This window comes from Homo sapiens, chromosome 22, assembly GCF_000001405.40.
Source record: "Homo sapiens chromosome 22, GRCh38.p14 Primary Assembly".
NCBI lineage: Eukaryota > Metazoa > Chordata > Mammalia > Primates > Hominidae > Homo > Homo sapiens.
In genome coordinates, this window is record NC_000022.11 from 35,418,717 (window position 1) to 35,438,789 (window position 20,073).

Consider the following 20,073-nt stretch of genomic DNA (forward strand, 5'->3'; position numbering starts at 1 on the left):
TTACACACTACTTTCTTTGTGCCAGGCATTCTGAATTACTATTCAGTATTTTCTATATGAATAAATTATAACCCTCCCCCAAAACCTACCAGGTAAGGTGTGCTATTATTCCCTTCCCTTTATGGATGGGGAAGCTGAGGCAAAGGAAGTTAAGTAACTTGCCCAAGGTCACATGCCAGAGGTAGTGGAGCCAGGATGTGAACCCAGCTGCTTGCCTCCAGAGGCTGTGCTCTTAACCACAGTGCTTCGATTCTTGTCGTACAGCGCTTTGGTGATCTTTTGAAGGAGCTAAAACCCAGGGGTTGAGGGCTCTTTGAATGCACTACCAGTGGGGGGCTGGTGGGTCCCTGATTCAGCACCTCTGCCAGGGTGAGTGGGTAGTCCCTGGGTCTTCATCCAAGTCTGAGCTCTGTGTGGCCCAGTCTTGAGAGGCTTGGGCCCACAGCTGTGAGTCAGGGAGCCCTGGATTCTAATCTTCCCTCTGCACTAAGTCCCCAGGTAGCCTTGGGGAGTTCCCTCCCTCCCTCTGGGTCTCAGTCTCCACATCCTTAGGATGGTTGAGCTAAGGCTTTCCCTACATCAGTGACTGTCAGTTGGCCTGGGGGCTAGAGGGGAGGGGATGGGATAGGGTAGATGCTGATCAGACTTCCCCACACCTACCGTCCCAGGAGAGTCTGAGGTGCTCCCAGCCCCTGGACTGCAGTCACCGCCAAGCCTCCTGTGGGTGTCATCAGCTTGTCGTGTCTTCAGATGTGTTGGGTGGAGGAGTTTGAGACTGCTGCAAAGCCCACCACCCAGTGGGCCTCCATGCCGCTGTGATTGTGCCATTGTTCATTACATGTATGGGGGACCTTGTGGCAAGACACCACACAGCGTCTAACAGTGGGGAAGAGGCGGTTTTCACCCTGCAGACGTGCCTGGCTTTTCTTCACCTGTTTTTTAAGAGAGGCACCCATATTTCTCCCCAGTGTTGATGTTTGTGGCAGCTGCCCACAGCCAGATTTCACTTAAATCTTTTCCGATTGTTGTCCCCCAGCCCATATGAGTGGGCAGCTGTGGTGTGGTGGGAAAGTGCATGTCTGTAAGCTGGCAGGGGGCTGGGGGAAAGGGTAGGTGCCCTAAGAGTCCCTCCTGGCCTCACACCAGCCTCTCCCCACTGTCCTGCAGGAAGTGTGGCCCCCGGCTGTCAGCAGAGGCTGCAGAGAAACTGAAGAACCGCTACATCATCATGCGGAGCGGGGCCCGTCAGCACGAGAGGGACAGTGACCGCCGCTCCAGCATCCCCATCACTGTGCGGTGAGCAGGCGGGCAGGGCTGGGCCATGGCAGATGGGGCTTGCTTTACACAGCAGGGTGTGCTTGGCAACCAGGGGCAGTGGTCCAGGCTTTTCACTTGGCACAGGCCCATAGTAGCTCTGGGCAGGAAGAGTCCCTTTGGAGCATAAACTATGGCCTCCTTGATCTCAATGATGATCCATGTTTCTTGATTTAAGGCCGGGCAAACCTAGACCCCTCTTGTCTGAATTTGGCCTGGCTTCTCCCATTGTAGGAAGCCCGAAGGGAGGGAAGGACCCAGGCCTGGGAGTCAAGAGTCTTGGGTCCCAGCCTCTAGCCCACTGTGTGACTGTAGGGAAATTACATTCCTTCTCTGGCCCTCAGTGCTTTTAGCTCCTAACTCTGTTCATTCTTGTGACTTTGTAGACAATACAGTGGGTAAGAGTTGGGATTTACCTGGTTTGAATCCTGTCTCCAGCACTGACTGGTTGGAAATGGATTTGGCTATAAGTAATGGTAAATCCAGATAAAGTAGCTTAAAGAAATAGGAAGTTCATTTCTCTTTTCTGTAGCACTGTCTGGAGGAAGATGGTATGGGGACTGGTGTGAGGACTCCTCAAGCTCCCCCTTACTCTTAGTCCGAGATGGCCGCTAGAACTTCAGCCATCACCTCCAGGCAGCAGGACAGGAAGGAAAGAGAGCTTCCCTTTTAAAGGACACTTCATGAAGTCCCACACAATGCTTGGACTTACAACTTACTGCCATAGATTGGTCACACAAATACAACCTGGTACAAAAGATGTCTGGGATGTGTTTTAGTGGATCGCTGTGTGCCAGACTAAAAACTGGGGTTCCAAGCTAGGTGCAGTGGCCTACATTGTGATCCTAGCACTTTGGGAGGCTGAGGCAGGAGGATTACTTGAGGCCAGGAGTTTGAGACCAGCCTGGGCAACATAGCAAGACTCCCATTTCTACAAAAAATAAAAAATTAGCCAGGCATTGTGGTGCATGCCTGTAGACCCAGCTCCTCAGGTGGCTGAGGTGGAAGGATCACTGGAGCCCAGGAGTTCGAGGCTGCAGTGAGCTATGATCATGCCACTACATTCCAGCCTGGTCCACAGAGCGAGACTTTGTCTCAAAAAAAAAAAAAAAAAAAAAAAATTGCAGTTCTATGACTAAGATCAAAAGGGAGATGGATTATGGGGACACCTAGCAGTCTCCACCACAGTCTTACCACTTTGGGCAAGCACCTCCCTGGTAACGGGCTGGCTGGGGAGGAAGGGAATAGCGGACCGAGGCTACCCTGAGCACGCTGTTGCCCCCACAGGCAGCTGGAGGCCATTGTGCGCATCGCGGAAGCCCTCAGCAAGATGAAGCTGCAGCCCTTCGCCACAGAGGCAGATGTGGAGGAGGCCCTGCGGCTCTTCCAAGTGTCCACGTTGGATGCTGCCTTGTCCGGTACCCTGTCAGGTGAGCAGATGCAGGGGCCATGGTCTCAATTGATCTGGGTTCCCTGGCTCGGAGCTCTGTGGGCAGGGCTCTGGCCTGCTGGGGGCCTGCAGTGTGTGTCTTGCTTCTCTGAGTTTGCTGAGCTTCTCTGAGTTTCTTTTTGCCATAAGACCCCTCTCCTCCTTTCTCCCCACCGCTGTTTCCTCCAAGATGGGAAGAAGCAGCTTCTCTCCAGACCCTTGAACACAATCCTCTTGACCCAGGTCATTGATGATAACCCTTCTCACTGGCTAGGAACAACAGTTGATGCTCTGCTTCCTAGAGCTTGTCAGCATTTTCAGTGCTTCCAGAGTTATTTCTTGCATTTTGCCTTACAGCTGCCCCCTGGAAGCCAGGTGAGCAGTCAGTCCTGCCCATGTTAGAAATGAGACAGCTGACACTCGAAGGGGCCTTTCCCTGGTGCCCAAGATCACAGTCGCTTGGCTGGAATGCAAGTCTCCTGGCCCCTAGGCCAGCGTTTTCCACACCATAAGCCATACTGTCTGGTTTCGGTCAGCCTTTCAACAGACTGTCCCAGGCACCGATCATGAGCCAGGCTACCTACGCTGGGGAAAATCTGTTCCTTCACCCAGCAGATACTTCATTAGTGTTACTGTTTGCCAGGCACTGTTCTAGGTGCTGGGAGTATAAGAGCAATCAATCACAGGGTCCCGGCCCTCCTGGGTTCTCATTCTCGTTCTAGTTGGGGAGAGATAGACAGTAGAGAAACAAATGCAGGTAGTGTAGGTAGTGAAAAAGGCAGTGAGGGAGATGATGGCAGGGCCAGGTGTGTTGGAAAAGGAGGACGTGCTCTTTCCCATGGAGTGAGTGGGCATGGCCTCTGCAAGGAGGTGATGCCAAGCAGGGAGCTGCATGAAGGGGACAGTGTGGCTCCTTGGGGGAAGAGCTGCTCAGGTGGAGGCAGCGCTAAGTGTCAGTTTCCCCAGGAGGGAGCAGGTTTGGTGCATTTGAATGGGGAGGCACTTGGGTGAGGAATGGGGTGGGTGGGGCCTGTTCCTCCTGTCCCCCTTGGTGAAGACTCAGCCTCTACCCTGGAGACACTTGCTGTCACATGAGACATTGCAGGTGGAGGCCTCTGGGATGCTGCAGGCACAGAGGGCAGGGGTGATATGGAGTGGTGATAATTTGAGTTGGGTCTTATGGGCTATGTAGGAGTTTGCCTCACAGACTCCCCTCTCAATGACTTCTTGACCATGAGCCCACCATCTCCTTAGCTGAAACACCAAGGCCTCTGTGGCAGTAATTGGAAGTCACGAGCCTCCTGGTTGCCGAGGGCTCCTCAGGGCACCTCGTAGATGTGTCCAGGGCAGGCTGGCTTCCCTCCTGGGTCACTGATGGGCCCCTTCCAACTCTCTCTCTAATCTATCTGCTCCAGCAACAAAAGGAGTCCTGCTGTGGCCTCCAAGGGCCCGCAGGACTTGGTCCCTAGTGACACTCTGGCCATGTCTCTGCTGCGCTGGGCCCCGGGCTGCTTTTTGAATGAGACAGGTGTGTTCCTGCCTCTGTGACTTTGTGCTTGGCCTGGAGTGTCCCCACATGTGCCATATCCTGTCTCCTCAATCAGGCCTGCACCACCCTGGCACACTCGGTGCCCTTTTCTGACTTACTCTTCGGGGCCTGGCTCAGGCTGTTCTTCCTTGGGCTAGAGGCTGTCTCTGTCCAAGAACTCCCATTGTCCCAGCTCCCCGGCTGCCTCACTTCTCCATGCCCACAGGGGTGGAGGGCTTCACCAGCCAGGAGGACCAGGAGATGCTGAGCCGCATCGAGAAGCAGCTCAAGCGCCGCTTTGCCATTGGCTCCCAGGTGTCTGAGCACAGCATCATCAAGGACTTCACCAAGCAGGTGAGCCTGCCTTGGAGTGGGGGTGTGAGCCGGCACGGGGTGCAGGTCTTCTGCTGGTTCCCACCCACTCAGCACTGGCATCTTACTCAGCAGACAGGCCCTGAACGGGGGTAGGATGGACAACTGTCCCTTTCTCAGACCTTTTCTAGCCATCATTCCTTCCCTAGGGACATCTTCATCAGGAGCAGGGATGGGGGTATTTTTTCTGTCCCACGAAGGGGAGGGGAGAGCAGAGGTGGTTGGATTCTGGTGAAACCCCATACAAGTTCCCCGCAGCCCTTCCCGTCTGTGCCTTTCCCCGTTGGCGGGCGTTTCATGGAGTGGGAAGGGGCAGAGCCATGAGAGTGAGCTTTCTGGCTCACTGAGGAGGGTACTGTTGGCCCCATAGAGAGAAGATGGGATTTCCCAGATGCTCTGGAAAACCTGTCACCTTTAAAATCTCAGGATTAATCCTAGTTTCTGGTCTCCGCTCCTTGTACATCATCTCATTTTGATTCAGGGCAGTTTAATGGGTGGTATCGTGTCTATTCTATAGGTGCGCAGACTGAGGCTTAGAGAAAGGTTTAGAGCTTCGGTTCTAGAGTCAGATGGGACTTAAGTCCCAGCTCTACCTCTTAATTGCTGTGACCTTGAGCAAGTGGCTTAGCCTCCGTGTGCCTCAGTGTCTGGTACACAGTGGGCACTCAGGAAGTGTGGGCCCTTTAGGTCAAAGGAGCCTGAGTACAAAGTTCCCCGTGAGCCTGGGGATGTCTGGGCTCTGTCGGAGTCCCCTCGGGCAGCACGTGCCGTTAGCCAGCCATGTGCTCCCACAGAAATACCCGGAGCACGCCATCCACAAGGTGCTGCAGCTCATGCTGCGGCGCGGCGAGATCCAGCATCGCATGCAGCGCAAGGTTCTCTACCGCCTCAAGTGAGTCGCGCCGCCTCACTGGACTCATGGACTCGCCCACGCCTCGCCCCTCCTGCCGCTGCCTGCCATTGACAATGTTGCTGGGACCTCTGCCTCCCCACTGCAGCCCTCGAACTTCCCAGGCACCCTCCTTTCTGCCCCAGAGGAAGGAGCTGTAGTGTCCTGCTGCCTCTGGGCGCCCGCCTCTAGCGCGGTTCTGGGAAGTGTGCTTTTGGCATCCGTTAATAATAAAGCCACGGTGTGTTCAGGTATCTGTGGGTTTGTGCACTCGGTGACCTGTCACCTCCATCGTGCCCTCATGGCAGGGTAAGTGTGAGGGAACAGGGTCTGGAGGCAGACTGGCCAGGGTTTCTGACTTGGATCTGCCACTCAGACTTCTGGGTAAGTCACGTGACTTGAGTGCTCCGGTTTCTTCATCTGTTTAGCGGGGCTCATAAAGCCACTCCCTTGATGCTGGGAATCCAGTGAGACCAGGGAGTGGGGAAGCGCTTCTCAAAGTGTGTGATTTTGATCCGCCTCACCTGTTCCCCAGTAACTTATTGGGGGGCTGCGAGCCGTGGTGCGGCGGTCAGACTGCCTGGATTCATGGACCCTCTCCATGCCTTAGTTTCCTTATCTGTAAGCAGGCTGATACTAGAACCTGCTTCACAGGGTTGTGCTTAGGGTCAGTGAGCAGCTGTTAGTGAGGGGAATGTAGTGGCCACCAGGCAGGAACTAGGACTCCAGCCAGTTCTTTCCTGGTGGGCCACGTGTAACTGTGTGGCCTTGGGCGAGACATTTCACTTTTCTGTGCCTGAGTTTATCAGTAAACTGGAGATGGGGGGATTCCTCACCCTGAGTTGTGAGGATTGAATGACAGAAGGCACTAGTGACAGTGATGCTGGAGGAAGGAGTGTTGCCAAGTGCCTCGGTCACTTTGCCTAATTTCAGAAAGTCACTCTGAGTTGGTATGTTTTGTGTTTTTAAAAAAGCTAGGATTCATAAAATTAAATAGAAATCAGTGAAATAAAATATTTGATATTTAAAATACATTTAGAAATACAAAGTGTCAAGCAAAACGTGAATTTGGAAATCTATGGAACATTAGATAAGGTATTTAAAAGTAATTGCCATGTAAAAATGACACGAACTTGAAGTAAGATTATTTGATTTTTCTAAAAATACAAGAAAGCTTGGTGCATCCGCCTGGTCATTGTTGAATCACAAATGTATTTTTGTGCAGAAGATTCCTGCAGCTCAAAGCCCTTTCTGATTCCATACTGTTCGGGGAAATGGAGAGATGAGAGGAGCTAAATCAGCTTTCCTCTGACTCACTCCCGTTCAAAGCTCATTTCTTTTCTGATAATTTTGAGAGTGTCTGGAACAGCTTTTGTTTTCTTGGTGGGGTGGCAACCTTACTGGGCGCGCTGTGGGTTTTGCATCCAAGGCTGCATCTCCGGTTCCTGCTAGCCTTTCATCTTGCTCAGGTGGGGACTCGCGTGCATCTCAGGCCCAAGGTCCTCCCGTCCTGCTTGTTCATGGAGTGTGGAACTCTCATGAGGTTCACCCTGCAGTGGCAACTTTGCTGGTGGCCTTTTCTCCACCCCTGTGGTGGGTGGTGCTGCTGTGGTCACCTCTGTTTTACAGGTGGAGAAACTGAGGCTCAGAGAGTCAAGTGTCACAGTGAGGGAGTGCAGGGCAGGCTTCAAACCTGGTGGCTCCGAACTCCACCCATGTCACCTTTTCTGCCAGATTCTCTCTTGGCAGTCCCTGACCTCGGCCTGAGTGGGATGCTGGGCAGAGACAGTCCTGGCCTGGGGGAGGCAGGTGCCAGTCAGGTGGGGGAGACTGACCCTGGGGTAGGTTCCCAGGGGTAGGTGGCCTGACTGGCAGGCACAGGACTGAGAGGCCAAAGGGGGTCCGACTGGCTTTTCCGTGGTAGTTGGGGTAGGGCTCATAGGAGGAGCAGCTGTGCTCAGAGCATGCCAGTCTCCTTCCAGATCGGGGCAGCAGCATGAAGAGAGGCCCCTGAGCCAGGGAAACACCTGCTTGTTGGGGAAAGCAAAGGCTGAGGAGAGAGCCTGAAGGGAGGCCAGGAGAGGGGAGCATTCAGGCTGAGTAATAGTTGGGGCTCGGCTTAGTGGAATCTCCAGTCAGGCCTCAGTGACACCTAGAGAGGCAGGGAGGTGGGGCAAGGGGGGGAGCTGGATTCCCGAGCTGGTGCTGCCACTCAGGGTGGCTGAGCTCTTCACTCACCTGTGACCTGGCTCCCTTAGGCTTGTCTTCTCAGATCTGTCCCTACCCTCACCAGCTACAGGCCGCGACCCAGCGGACATTTCTCTCTGCTGAGCAAATCACTTCACCCCTCAGCCTCCTTTCATCTGTAGAAAGGGCACAGCAGTACAGTAGCCCTTTCACCCAGGGGTGGCTGTGAGGATTAACTGAGGGGGTAGACATCAGAGCAGCTGGGCCTGGCCCCGGGGAGGTGCTCCCAGGAAGGGCTGGGTGCCTGTGGTTTTCCCTGCCTCACAGCCTCTGCCATCTCGGATTTCACCTTTTCATGCTTTTGTGTGAGCAGAGGCCGAGCCTCTGCTGCTGTGTTCCCTGCCCCACTCTACTCCTGGCTGCATGGGTCTCTCAACTTCGCTCACCACTATGAGAGCCGCTCCACCCCTTCTCCAGTTCCAGGTCTGGGAAGGAGAGAGCAGACAAGCTTGCTCATGATGGAGTCCTTTTACCTGGTTTCTCTCTCTGTTCACAGATACCACCTCTGTTGATCTGGGAACTAAGACCATGTTGCTTGTCCTTAGTCACATATGACTTAATTTGCACCCATTGTGGGCCACTGGTGTCAGACAGGAAGCCTAAGCGCAGGTATCACTGAGGAGGATACACATGCTAACTACACGATCTTCACCAGACCTGTGAGCTTCCAGCCACCAGATCCAAAGTCACAGAGCACAGGGACTTACAAACCCAGTGCTGGAAAACATAGCAAAGGCTATATCCAATTTAGGTTTCTCTTTATTGGAAATAAAGATGGCCCATACTTCAAATATGTTATTTAGAGAATGCTTATAAAGAGCAGCCTAAAGTCCCATTCTCTTGCCTGTAAGCAACAAAATTACAAAAATGTTGAATTTCTAAAATGCGAAAGTTAAGCATTCCAGAGACCAGCTCATGGAAGAAGGTTTTATGTTTTTGGGTGTTGTAACTATTATCCATATGTATTTAAACATGAATACGTCTGTTTGGTATTTAACACATTTTTTTTTTTTTTGGCTTTCAAGGCCTTTATTTTTTTATTTTTATTTTTTTCCCTTTTTTAATTTATTATACTTGTTTTTGGGGTACATGTGCAGAACGTAAAGTTTTGTTACATGGGTATACACATGCCATGGTGGTTTGCTGCACCCATCAACCCGTCATCTACATTAGGTATTTCTTCTAATGTTATCCCTCCCTAGCCCCCCACCCCCCACAAATGTTTAATTAGGAGTGTCAAGTCTGGATGAACCAAGGTAGATATTTATTTTAAGACATTATGGTGAGGCCAAAGAGTACATTAAAATGGTTTTAATTTGTTTTTATAGATCAAAAACAAGCATTTTTTATTAAAAATATGAGGCAGTAAAGCACAGTGGTTAAGAACATGGACTTGGGGCCAGGTGTGGTAGCTCATTCCTGTAATCCCAGCACTTTAGGAGGCTGAGGCAGGAGAATCACTTGAGGCCAGGAGTTCAAGACTAGCCTGGGCAACATAGTGAGACCCCCATCGCTCTCTCTCTCTCTTTTTTTTTTTTTTTTTGAGACCAAGTCTCACTCTGTTGTCCAGGCTGGAGTGCATTGGCGCGATCTCGGCTCACTGCAACCTCCGCCTCCCAGGATCAAGCGATTCTCCTGCCTCAGCCTCCTGAGTAGCTGGGATTACAGGTGCCCACCACCACACCCAGCTAATTTTTTGTATTTTTAGTAGAGATGGGGTTTCACCATGTTGGCTAGGCTGGTTTCAAACTCCTGAACTCAAGTGATCTGCCCACCTTGGCCTCCCAAAGTGGTGGGATTACAGGTGTGAGCCACTGCACCTGGCCTATTTTATTATTTTTTTAGAGATGGGGGTGGTTCTCACTGTGTTGCCCATGCTGGTCTGGAACTCCTGGGCTCAATCGATCCTCCTGCCTCGGCCTCCCAAAGTTCTTAGATTACAGGTGTGAGCCACTGCACCAGCCAGGATTAAAGGAGTTAACAGCCCCAAAGCACTCAGAACACCACCAGGCCCAGGGTAAAGGCTTTTTCAGTGTTCCATATGTAAACTATCTACATATGTAGATAGTTTTTTACATACGTAAAAAACCTACTATTGACGTATGTAAACCTACACACATTGGCTTGCTCTAACAGAAGGGCTGTGTTGTAAGGTAGTAAGCTCCCTGTTTCTGCACGTGGTCAGGTAGAGGCAACCCAGCATCTGTTGGCGGGCTTGGTCTTCCAGGTCAGGGAGACTTCTCCCCGGCTCCTACTCAGGGCTCACCACCACCTATTTCATACTTACTAGTTGTTTTAGAGACAGGGTTTCTCTGTATTGTCTGGTCTGGAATCCTCCAGCTCTGGTTATTCACAGGCATAGTCACAGTGCACTACAGCCTTGAACTCCTGACCTCAAGCGATCCTACTGCCTCGACCTCCCAAGTAGCTGGGACTACAGGCGCATGCCAGTATTCCCAGTTCTTTTCTTTGACCTTTTTTTTTTTTTTTTTTTTTTTTTTTCTTTTTTGAGGCGGAATTTTGCTCTGTTCCCAGGCTGGAGTGTAGTATCATGATCTCAGCTCCCTGCAACCTCCGCCTCCCAGGTTCAAGCAATTCTCCTGCCTCAGCCTCCCAAGTAGCTGGGATTACAGGTGCCTGCCACCATGCTTGGCTAATTTTTGTATTTTTAGTAGAGACAAGATTTCACCATGTTGGCCAGGCTGGTCTTGATCTCCTGACCTCAGGTGATCCACCTGCCTCGGCCTCCCAAAGTTCTGGGATTATAGGCATGAGCCACCGTGCCCGGCCAAATCTTTTTGAAATGCTAGGTCCTAAGGTTATTATCTCCAAATTACAGATGAGAAATTGAGGCTACAAGACTTTGAGGAAATGACTCAATGTCTCAGAGGCAGAAGTGAAGGATCTGGGTGAGCCACCAAGGGTCGTCTTCTTAGGAGATATTATTGCCTTCAAGATTTCAAGATTGATTGTTCCGGGCTCTGAGATTCTAGAATTCTCTCCTGCCATTCCTCCTCACCCCTCCTGCCCTTGTTTTTTGTTCTTCCTTTTTTTTTTAAGATGGAGTCTTGCTCTGTCACCCAGGCTGGAGTGCAGTGGCTTGCTCTCTTGGCTCACTGCAACCTCCACCTCCTGGTTCAAGCAATTCTCCTGCCCCAGGCTCCCGAGTAGCTGGGACTACAGGCGCGCGCCACTGTAGCTGGCTAATTTTTGTATTTTTAGTAGAGATGGGGTTTCACCATGTTGGCTAGGCTGGTGTCAAACTCCTGGCCTCAGGTGATCCGCCCACCTCAGCCTCAAAAAGTGCAGGCCTGTGCCACCGTGCCCAGCCATTTTTTGTTCTTCCTTAGAGAACCAGCTCAGCCTAGTGCTTCTCAGCCAGTAGGCCTCATTCTAGAGCAAGACTTCTGGGCTCCATGCTCAATAGCTGTGGAATATATTACCCTCTCCAAATCTCAGTTTCCGTGTCTGTAAAATGGGTCGGGCTTTTCTGGTGTTAACACCGAAAGTCTTGCATCCCAGGAGCCCCTTCAGCCCTAGGCACACCCGTTGGTCACCCTAAAAATGGGGGGAATAAAAGCCCATCTGGAAGAGTTGTGGTCAGGTTGGGCTGAACAGCGTTCACTGGTATTGAGCATGGTACCTTTCAGGGGCCTGCAGAGAATGGGAGAGAAAATTACTGCTCCTTACACAGGGTGACGGAGTCCATGGCCTGAGTGTGACACCTAATGCCACCACTTCCAGCTGTGTGCCCTGAGTTCAGTTTATCTTCCTGGGTCTCTGTTCCCCCAGATGTTAAGAGGATTGATAATAGTGTGGGCTGAGTATAGTGAGAGTATAGGAAGATACAGTGAAATAACAAGAGCTTTGCCAGGAAGTGGGCACCTGGTGCCCGCTGGGCAGGAGTGCCTGTAGTTAATCATTATGTGTCTCAAAAGGTGTCAAAAGCTTCTGAACACTTAATGCTGTGTTTTGGGCCTGGAGCCCCAAAACCAGCCAGTGGGGACTTTTTTTTTTTTTTTTGAGATGGAGTCTCGCTCTGTCGCCCAGGCTAGAGTGTGCAGTGGTGCGACCTCAGCTCACTGCAACCTCCGCCTGCCAGTTTCAAGCAATTCTTCTGCCTCAGCCTCCCGAGTAGCTGGGACTACAGGCGCGTGCCACCATGCCTGGCTAATTTTGTTTTGTTTTGTATTTTTAGTAGAGATGGGGTTTCACCATGCTAGCCAGTCTGGTCTGGAACTCCTGACCTCCTGATCCACCTGCCTCGGCCTCCCAAAGTCCTGGGATTACAGGCGTGAGCCACTGTACCCAGCCTTTTTTTTTTTTTTCAGTCGTATTTCCATGCAGGACACAGAAGGACCAGTGGGGACTCTTACCTTGTCTCTAGCTTTGGTCTTTTTAAAAAAAATAACCCTGAATAATCAGGAGAATTTTTTTGATGAATGAGGGCACTCCTCTCCAGCTGTCCCAGGGGTGCGAGGAGAACAGTGTCCATGAGGGGGCGCCAGAGCACCAGGCCCGGGGCTGCAGCCTCCCGCACCCACCCGGCCTGGCCTGCAGGGCCAGCTCTCCAGGCGCTCCCAGGGACTTCCCGGCCTCCTACCCTGGGAATCTGGAAACTCCCTGGCTCAGACTCAGCAGCCCAGACGCTGCCTGGAGGATCCTCTGGTTCTGGGCATTCACCACTGGCTTTGTTTGGACAAAGGCTCTGCTGCGTGACAGATCCTGGGGGATGCCTGAGTTATCGTTATCATGCTCCAGCGGAAGTGGGTATCCTCGTCCTGGGTTACACACCAGGAAACTGAGGCACAGAAATGCACGGAGCCGGGGTCCAAACCCACGGATGCCCAACCCCCGAATCTTTGCCAGCAGTCTCTGAGAATCAGTCTGGATCTCAGAATGATTGTAATAATCTTGGAGGCTTAGAAGGCTAGACTCTTAGAAATATTCAGTTCAAATATACACGTGTATTATTTTTTGTATGGGTAGCGCATGGGTGAAAAGACAAAAGTAAAACCAGTCCCCCTTCTCTCTGACCGTCCCCAGCCACCCTGGAGGTGACCACAGTGATAGTTTCTCGGGTCTTGTCTCCTCCTGATATAGGACTCATCAAATCTTAGAATTAGATGGGATTTCTGGGTGACTCGGTCTCTGGAACCCATCAGCTTCTAGCACGCAGCCCTAAGGTTCCCACTGCCATCCCTGTCAAACTCAAACTCATGGGTGAGTTTGAGGATCTTGGCTCCTGGAACCCCCCAGCTTCAGGCCCAGCTACTCCTTTAGAGTTGAAGGGGCTGTTTTCTCCAGCGACCCAGACTTCAGTTCCCTCTGTGCCTCTCCTCCTCCAGGGGGCCCTCCTTCCAGAAACACCCTGCCTGCTTCTGGTGGTATAATAGAGGACACTCAGCATGGCACCCTCTCACTTTATGCCTGGTGATGGGCCTGATCTGTCGGGTCAGTGCCTTTCCCCAGAAGGAACGTGGTGGCATTTGTTGATTCATCCGTTTGTGTCATGGAGATAATGACCGTACCTACAATAAAGGGCGAGGTGAGCATTAAATGCATGAATGTATGCAGAGCTCTTAGACTAGTGCCTGTTACATTCTCTATGGGTTTCTATTATTATTGATACTTTTAGTTCATTCAGCTAAATTTACCAAGCATTCACAGGTTTCCGGGACACTGGGAATACAGAGAACAAAGCATGTTTCTTCCTGCTTGGGGGAGAAAGATCCAGAAAGAACGTCAGCGCCAGCATGAAGAGCCTTGTGAGAAAGAACAAGTGCTCTGTGATATTTCAAGAGATGGGACCCCATGGAGGCCTGGTGTGTGGGTACCGGGGTGGCCTTGTGCTTTGAGATGAAGCCAGGGGGTCTAGCGGGGAGTACAGGTGGCAGGCAGGCATCAGTTACATAAGCGCCTCACCCTGGGAGCTCAAGTACTGTGTGACGGTTCTGTTCACGGCCCCCACACAGAACGTGCTCCTTGTCAGTAGAGCAGAGCAGGGAGGAGAAGCACCAGAGAGCTGCTGCGTGGAGTCTGGAAGTATCTCCTCCAACTTCCTTGGGGAGGAAAGCAAGGGCCCAGACTCTTAACACCAGCCCATGTAGTCAGGTGAATAATTCCCAGTCACTATCTAGTCCCTGGCCCTGGCCATCTGCTCAGCCCCTTCGGCAACTCCAGCCTGGTCCAGCCTCATCTGGCTCTGTGTGTGTGTGTGCGGGGGGGTGGTGGGTGAGAGGCTGGAGGAGAGTGGAGGGGGTTGGGGATTGGGGCCAGGCAGCGCTGTGTGAGGCTAGAGATGGGAGGTCCTAGAGGGAGACCAGGAAATCAGGCACTCAGGAGAGCTGGGAGGGTAAAAGTTGCTGGGGGCAGGTGTCTCGGGGGCAGATGGTGGAGCCCAGGTGAACCCCCTAGGTTGTCTCTGTCCCATCATCCTTGATCCTCTTTGTTTTTTGAGACAGGGTCTCACAATGTTGCTCAGGCTGGAGTGCAGTAGTGCAGTCATGGCCCATTGCACCCTCAACCTTGTGGGCTCAAGGGATCCTCTCACCTCAGCTCCTGGAGTAGCTGGGACTACAGGCATGCACCACCATGTCTGGCTTATTTCTTAATTTTCTTGTAGAGACAGGGTCTTGCTATATTGCCCAGGCTAGCCTCAAGCTTGAGGGCTCAAAGTGATCTTCCTGCCTCCACCTCCTAAGTGTTGAGACTATAGGTATGAGCCACTGGGCCTGGCCCCTTGATTCCCTTTGCATGATAGAACTTCAACCCTTGGAGCCCCAGAGGATCCAGGCAGTATCAAGTCACCATCCATGTTATAGATGAGACCATGTATAACATCACCATCTTTAACACCACCATCCAGCCTTCAGATGAGATCACAGCCCTGACTGCAACCTCTCTGACCACAGCTCAGAGAGGGCATGTGGCATGCTCACAAACAGTCTGTTAGGGGCTTCCCCTGGGTCAGAACTCAGACCCCTCGGCTCTTAGTCCAATGCTCCTCTCCTAACCCAGGTTGCCTTTGGGGACCTTGGGGGGGTCTCTCATTTCATTGGGAATGCCTAATGGCATTGGTTGCCACGTGTTGCCATTGTTGGTGTATGTAAGTCGCTCTTCTGTCCTCATATCCCCACTCTGTCGTCCTGCCCCTTCTTGGGGGTGGATCCTGCAGGAGAGGGGGAAGCAGCCAAGCAAGGCTTCATTTCTACTTTTCCATCTGCAGGACCCAGGGCTGGGCACATTTGGTGCAACAGGCTGGAAATATTCTCCCCTACCCCACCCTCCCCATCCCTCCTCAGAGGCACTGGGCCGGGGACTGGAGCCTGTGGTGAGGTCCTTCCCCTCAAGCCCTGTCGGGGGCAGCCACTAAATGGCCCCAAGATCCCATGGACTCAAGGGATTCCATGTGGCATCCCTTCCCGTGCTGCAGAGGCTGGGAAACTTAACCACATTTCCAGACTCTCTTGCAGCTAGTGTTTCTGATGGCATGGAAATCCTGCCATTGAATGCAAACGCACAAGACTAGAATTTGGAACTGAGTTTCGTGGGGAGAGAGGCAGGGCATGGAGCATCCAAGCATCCATTTTGCTGTGTGGATGGTGGTAGAGTGCAGGCCTAATGCTGGAGCTGGCAGTTGTAATGGTGGCTTCTGAATTCCACAGCTTCTTGATGGAGGCAGGAGCCCTGGCATCTTAGCCCAGTTCAGCAGCGTTTTAGGCAGCTTTCCTGGATGCTCAGACACTTAGTAATAATATGCTTGAAAAAAAAAAGCCCTTTTTTTCCCTACTAGCTGGAATGGATTCCGTTGTCTGTCACTGAACCCTGATGATACATCTTCTACACACTGTGTGGGACAAGGCCCCATGGAAGTCCCAAGTCAGTAACCTGAACTCCCCACCCTCTCTGCCAAGAAAGAGCTTTTTTCTCTCAGTATCCATTTATCGGTCCCAGGGGAGCTCTCTGATTGGCTGTGCTTGGGCCAGTCATTATCTCCTGGACCAATCACAGTGGCCAGAGAGATGAGATGCCAAGATCAATTGGTCAGGTCCAGATCATTTCCTGCTTTTGTGACCAGGCGGGAAAGGGCCTATCTCCAGAAGTGGGATGAGAAAGCTTGGGCATTCCTACCACAGCCTGTCTGACAACACCTTTACCCCACAAGGAGGAACTATTAGTGAATGCCACACGGGACACTGCTGTAATGAAACACTGAGGACAGGAGATTATGACAAGAGTCCCACAGTTCCTGCTCATGGGTGATCATGCCTGTTCACCACTAATAGCCTGGGAAGGACGCACAACTGTCCCCATCTTTACCCCGACAATGCTTTGGGTGGGAGGGGGAAACTGAGGCACAGAGGAATGAGGAGGCAGGGCGCGGTGGCTCACGCCTGTAATCCCAGCACTTTGGAAGGTCGAGGTGGGTGGATCACTTGAGGTCAGGAGTTCAAGACCAGCCTGGCCAACGTGGCAAAACCCCATCTCTACTAAAATACAAAAATTAGCTGGGTATGGTGGCAGGTGCCTGTAGTCCCAGTTACTCAGGAGGCTGAGGCAGGAGAATTGCTTGAACCCGGGAGGTGGAGGTTGCAGTGAGCTGGGATAGCACCACTACACTCCAGCCTGGGCGACAGAGCAAGACTCCATCTCAAACAAACAAAAAGGAATGAGGAGGAGGCTGGGAGGCAGGGAGAGAGATGGGAGTTTGAATACAGGCCTCCCAATTTGCTGTGCATTGCTGGACCTGGAGGCAGACAGACCTGAGCTGTGTGTGACCCTGGTGAGGACCTCTGTCTCAGAACCCCAGGGGTCCAGTGTGCAGAGTGACAATGACCCTGGCTGTCTCTCAGGGCCGCGGTGGGGCCTCGATGGGGACTTGGTGGGACAGCATGTGCATGTGTGAAGACACCAGAGGCTCCTCCTGGTGCTGGTGGGACTTGATTCCTCAGGGAGGGGAGGAAGAAGGTGGTGGCCACCGGGCCTTTCAGTGAGGAGGCTTCTGCAGAACAACTCCCCCGTTGCTATGGTGACCAGACTCTCGGGGAGTCTGGCTTATTTTTGAACTTGGTCTACACAGCAGCAGCTTTGTTCCCGGGTCTTCCTGCTGCAGCCTTTGTCCTGTGGGCTTGTCGCCTGAAGCCTTGGCACAGTGGGTCTGAGTGGGACACAACCCTGGCCAGGAGGGGCAGGCAGAGGGAGGGGGAGACCCAGTAGGCACCCCCTGCCAGCCTCCCTAACTTGGCCTTGGAGGCGGAGGCCTGGGTTCTAGTCCTGCATCTGCTGCAGGCCTGCTGGGCAACCTCTCGGGCATGTCTGCTTGAGAGGGAAAAGGAGAGGGTATTTTTTGCTGTGCTTCCCCCAGTTGAATGAAAATGGAAGGAAATGGCCGGGCGCGGTGGCTCACGCCTGTAATCCCAGCACTTTGGGAGGCCGAGGCGGGCGGATCACCTGAGGTCGGGAGTTCAAGACCAGCCTGATCAACATGGAGAAACCCCATCTCTACTAACAATACAAAAATTAGCTGGGCATGGTGGTGCATGCCTGTAATCCCAGCTACTCGGGAGGCTGAGGCAGGAGAATCGCTTGAACCTGGGAAGCAGAGGTTGTGAACTGAGATCGCACCACTGCACTCCAGCCTGGGCAACAAGAGCAAAACTCAGTCTCAAAAAAAAAAAAAAAAAAAGAAAAAAAGAAAATGGAGGGAAAATGGCTAGCCCCGATGGGTCCAAGATGGTGTTTGGGACCCCTGCCCTCCCCGGCCTGGATCCAGCTCTTAACAGCCTCCCCACCCACAGACCGCATGGGCCCCAGAGGCTTCATGCTCCTGCTTCTCTGACCTTCCGCAGCTTCCAGGCCTCGCCACTACCTCCACACGCTGTTACATGTGACAGCATCCAGGCTTGGAGTTCAGCCCCTTCCTCAGTTTCCACCAAAGCCCTCTCTTATGTGCAAGGCTTTATTGAAAGCTGGGCAGAAGGGGCACCTGGGGGCTTCACGTTTTCTATGAGGGGGCCCTGCTGTTTCTACTCCTTTGCCAGCGCCCACTGCACCCTGCACATCTCATGGGCCGGGGCTTCTGGCCTTTTTCCATCTCCCTGGCTTCGTGCCCTCTCCCCCTCAATTCCCCCCTTCACTCTTGTGCAGAGCTGCTCAGCTCTCCCCAGCCCTGGCTTTCTGCCCCTGCATCACCTTCCCATGTCCAAACCCATTGGGGCAGGGCCACAGGCCATTCTGGGTCAGGACCCTGTCCTAGGAAGGCAGCCTGGCTGTAATCATATCCCCACCCGACCTTCACAAACAAATGAGAAGGGGCTGGCAAAGTGCCCTTGGGATTATGGGGTGGGTAGAAAAGACGTTTATCTGTGGGCCTAGAAACCCAAGCTTTGCCAGGGGGAGAGTCAGTTCGCAGATGAGGATGGAAGGGTGACTTCACAAAGCCAGATGGAGAGGGGTCCCAAGACTCAGCCTCGCGTCACTAGGGCCACCTCCTTCAGAGGACATGAGGAGGCCATTGGCCTGGATCCTCCAGAAATTTCTCTGAACACAGCCACAAACTTCTGACTTCTGGGCAGGTGATCAGTTGACACCTGCATGCAGAACAGCCCCAGGAGGATGCTGGGCTCTCCTCCCCTCCCCCTTACAGGAAGTGCCCATGGCTGGGAATTGACCAGGGCTTAGGCCTAGGGAATGGGCAGTGCCCCGAACATACTGGGTTTCTTTGGTCATGTGACTGGACTGGCCAATCAGAATGCCCCATCCCCTGGCCTAAGGATTGGCTCCTGGTGGGCAGGTGACTCAGGCTGGGCCAATCAGTCTTTGAGATTTGATTCATGGACACCAAAAGAGAGAGGTTCTCTCACTTTCTACAGGATTGTGGGGTGGCATAACAAGAGTTGGGTGGGCCAGCAGCCATCATCATGCCATGTAGACAGAGCCTACGTGGGAATGAAACTGATACACTGAGGAAACAGCTGAGAGATGGAATGACAGCCTTGAGAATCTTTGAACCCCTGGATCCAGCTAAGCCTGAAGGCAGTTCTGCTTTGTGAATTTCTTTGTATGTCTGCAAATAGATTTCCTTTCAGTTAGGGTGGGTCGGGCTCCTGACCTTGTAACTGAAAGGTTCCTGACTATCAGAGAGGAGATGAAAGAGGGAAAGAAGACGGGTTACAGAAAGGGCCATACCTAGCCATGAGTCGGGGTGTCACAACTGAGGCCCTGGGGACCTTTTAGTCCCTTATCTCCAAATCTGACCAATTGTGAGAGTCACCTGGGTAGCCTGTTAAAAACTGATGCTGGTTTAATGGGTCTGAGGCCTGGGCATCTGCATTTTCACAAGCTTCCCAGAGGATTCTGATACCAGCCAGGTTGGAAAGTGTCAATCTAGTCCTATTTTTTCACATTTTAGTGAGGGAGACAGGCCCAGAGGAGAAGGGGAGTGACTAGTCCCAGGACACACAGCAAGTTAGTGGTAATGTTTGGCCTGTCGTTTCCCCTTGTCCTCTTCATCTCCCTATTCACCAAGCGAGGGCAAGGAAGGGAAAGGGTAAAGATCTTCCAGGCAGAAGGACCCAGGCACGGACCATTGTCTCTTAGGAAACCCCATCCCTACCTTTCAGACAGATGCCAAAGGGGTATGTGTAAATAACCCTGCTCTTAGCCTGGGAACTGCTGCTTGTCTGACTTCCATCCATTCATCCATCCACCCACATGCATATCCATCCATCCACCCACCCACCCACATATTCATCCACCCACCCACCCACCCACCCACATATTCATCCGTCCATCCACCCACTCACCTATTCATCCGTTCATCCGTCCATCTATCCATCCATCCATCCATCCACTCACCCACCCACATATTTATCCATCCATTCATCCATCCATCCATCCACCCACCCACATATTCATCCATCCATCCATCCATCCACATATTCATCCATCCATCCACATATTCATCCATCCATCCACATATCCATCCATCCATCCATCCATCCATCCATCCATCTATGCATCCATCCATCTACATATTCATCCATCCATCCACTCACATATTCATCCATCCATCCATCCATCCATCCATCCATCCATGCATCCACCCACCCACATATTCATCCATCCATCCACCCACATATTCATCCATCCATCCATCCGTCCATCCACATATTCACCCATCCATCCATCCATCCACCCACCCACATATTCATCCATCCATCCATCCATCCATCCACATATTCATCCATTCACCCATCCATTCATCCATCTACCCACCCACATATTCATCCA

The 20,073-nt window shown here is 52.3% G+C and overlaps 1 protein-coding gene across 3 annotated transcripts in view, besides 4 other annotated features; it reads left to right on the forward strand.

The window, feature by feature from the left end:
* The window catches only part of MCM5 (minichromosome maintenance complex component 5), a 54,892-nt gene that overhangs the window by 18,577 nt on the left and 16,242 nt on the right, over positions 1 to 20,073 (forward strand). For 2 of the 3 annotated variants that reach the window (XM_047441366.1, XM_006724242.5), the window contains exons 14-16: positions 1,168 to 1,296; positions 2,602 to 2,744; positions 4,498 to 4,625. In XM_047441366.1, coding sequence (XP_047297322.1) covers positions 1,168 to 1,296; positions 2,602 to 2,744; positions 4,498 to 4,625 — 400 coding nt within the window. Of the gene's footprint in view, positions 1 to 1,167; positions 1,297 to 2,601; positions 2,745 to 4,497; positions 4,626 to 5,437; positions 6,716 to 20,073 lie in introns of those variants that run through there. The other variant, NM_006739.4, reaches the window with a different exon arrangement.
* Positions 7,126 to 7,631: an enhancer, noted in NCBI's record as "H3K27ac-H3K4me1 hESC enhancer chr22:35821835-35822340 (GRCh37/hg19 assembly coordinates)". NCBI's record gives its function as "activates a minimal SCP1, AML or CMV promoter by ChIP-STARR-seq in primed H9 embryonic stem cells {active_cell/tissue: H9 hESC(primed)}" and the evidence as "EXISTENCE:reporter gene assay evidence [ECO:0000049][PMID:30033119]".
* Positions 7,632 to 8,139: an enhancer, noted in NCBI's record as "H3K27ac-H3K4me1 hESC enhancer chr22:35822341-35822848 (GRCh37/hg19 assembly coordinates)". NCBI's record gives its function as "activates a minimal SCP1, AML or CMV promoter by ChIP-STARR-seq in primed H9 embryonic stem cells {active_cell/tissue: H9 hESC(primed)}" and the evidence as "EXISTENCE:reporter gene assay evidence [ECO:0000049][PMID:30033119]".
* Positions 8,140 to 8,645: an enhancer, noted in NCBI's record as "H3K27ac hESC enhancer chr22:35822849-35823354 (GRCh37/hg19 assembly coordinates)". NCBI's record gives its function as "activates a minimal SCP1, AML or CMV promoter by ChIP-STARR-seq in naive H9 embryonic stem cells {active_cell/tissue: H9 hESC(naive)}" and the evidence as "EXISTENCE:reporter gene assay evidence [ECO:0000049][PMID:30033119]".
* Positions 16,426 to 16,927: an enhancer, noted in NCBI's record as "H3K4me1 hESC enhancer chr22:35831135-35831636 (GRCh37/hg19 assembly coordinates)". NCBI's record gives its function as "activates a minimal SCP1, AML or CMV promoter by ChIP-STARR-seq in primed H9 embryonic stem cells {active_cell/tissue: H9 hESC(primed)}" and the evidence as "EXISTENCE:reporter gene assay evidence [ECO:0000049][PMID:30033119]".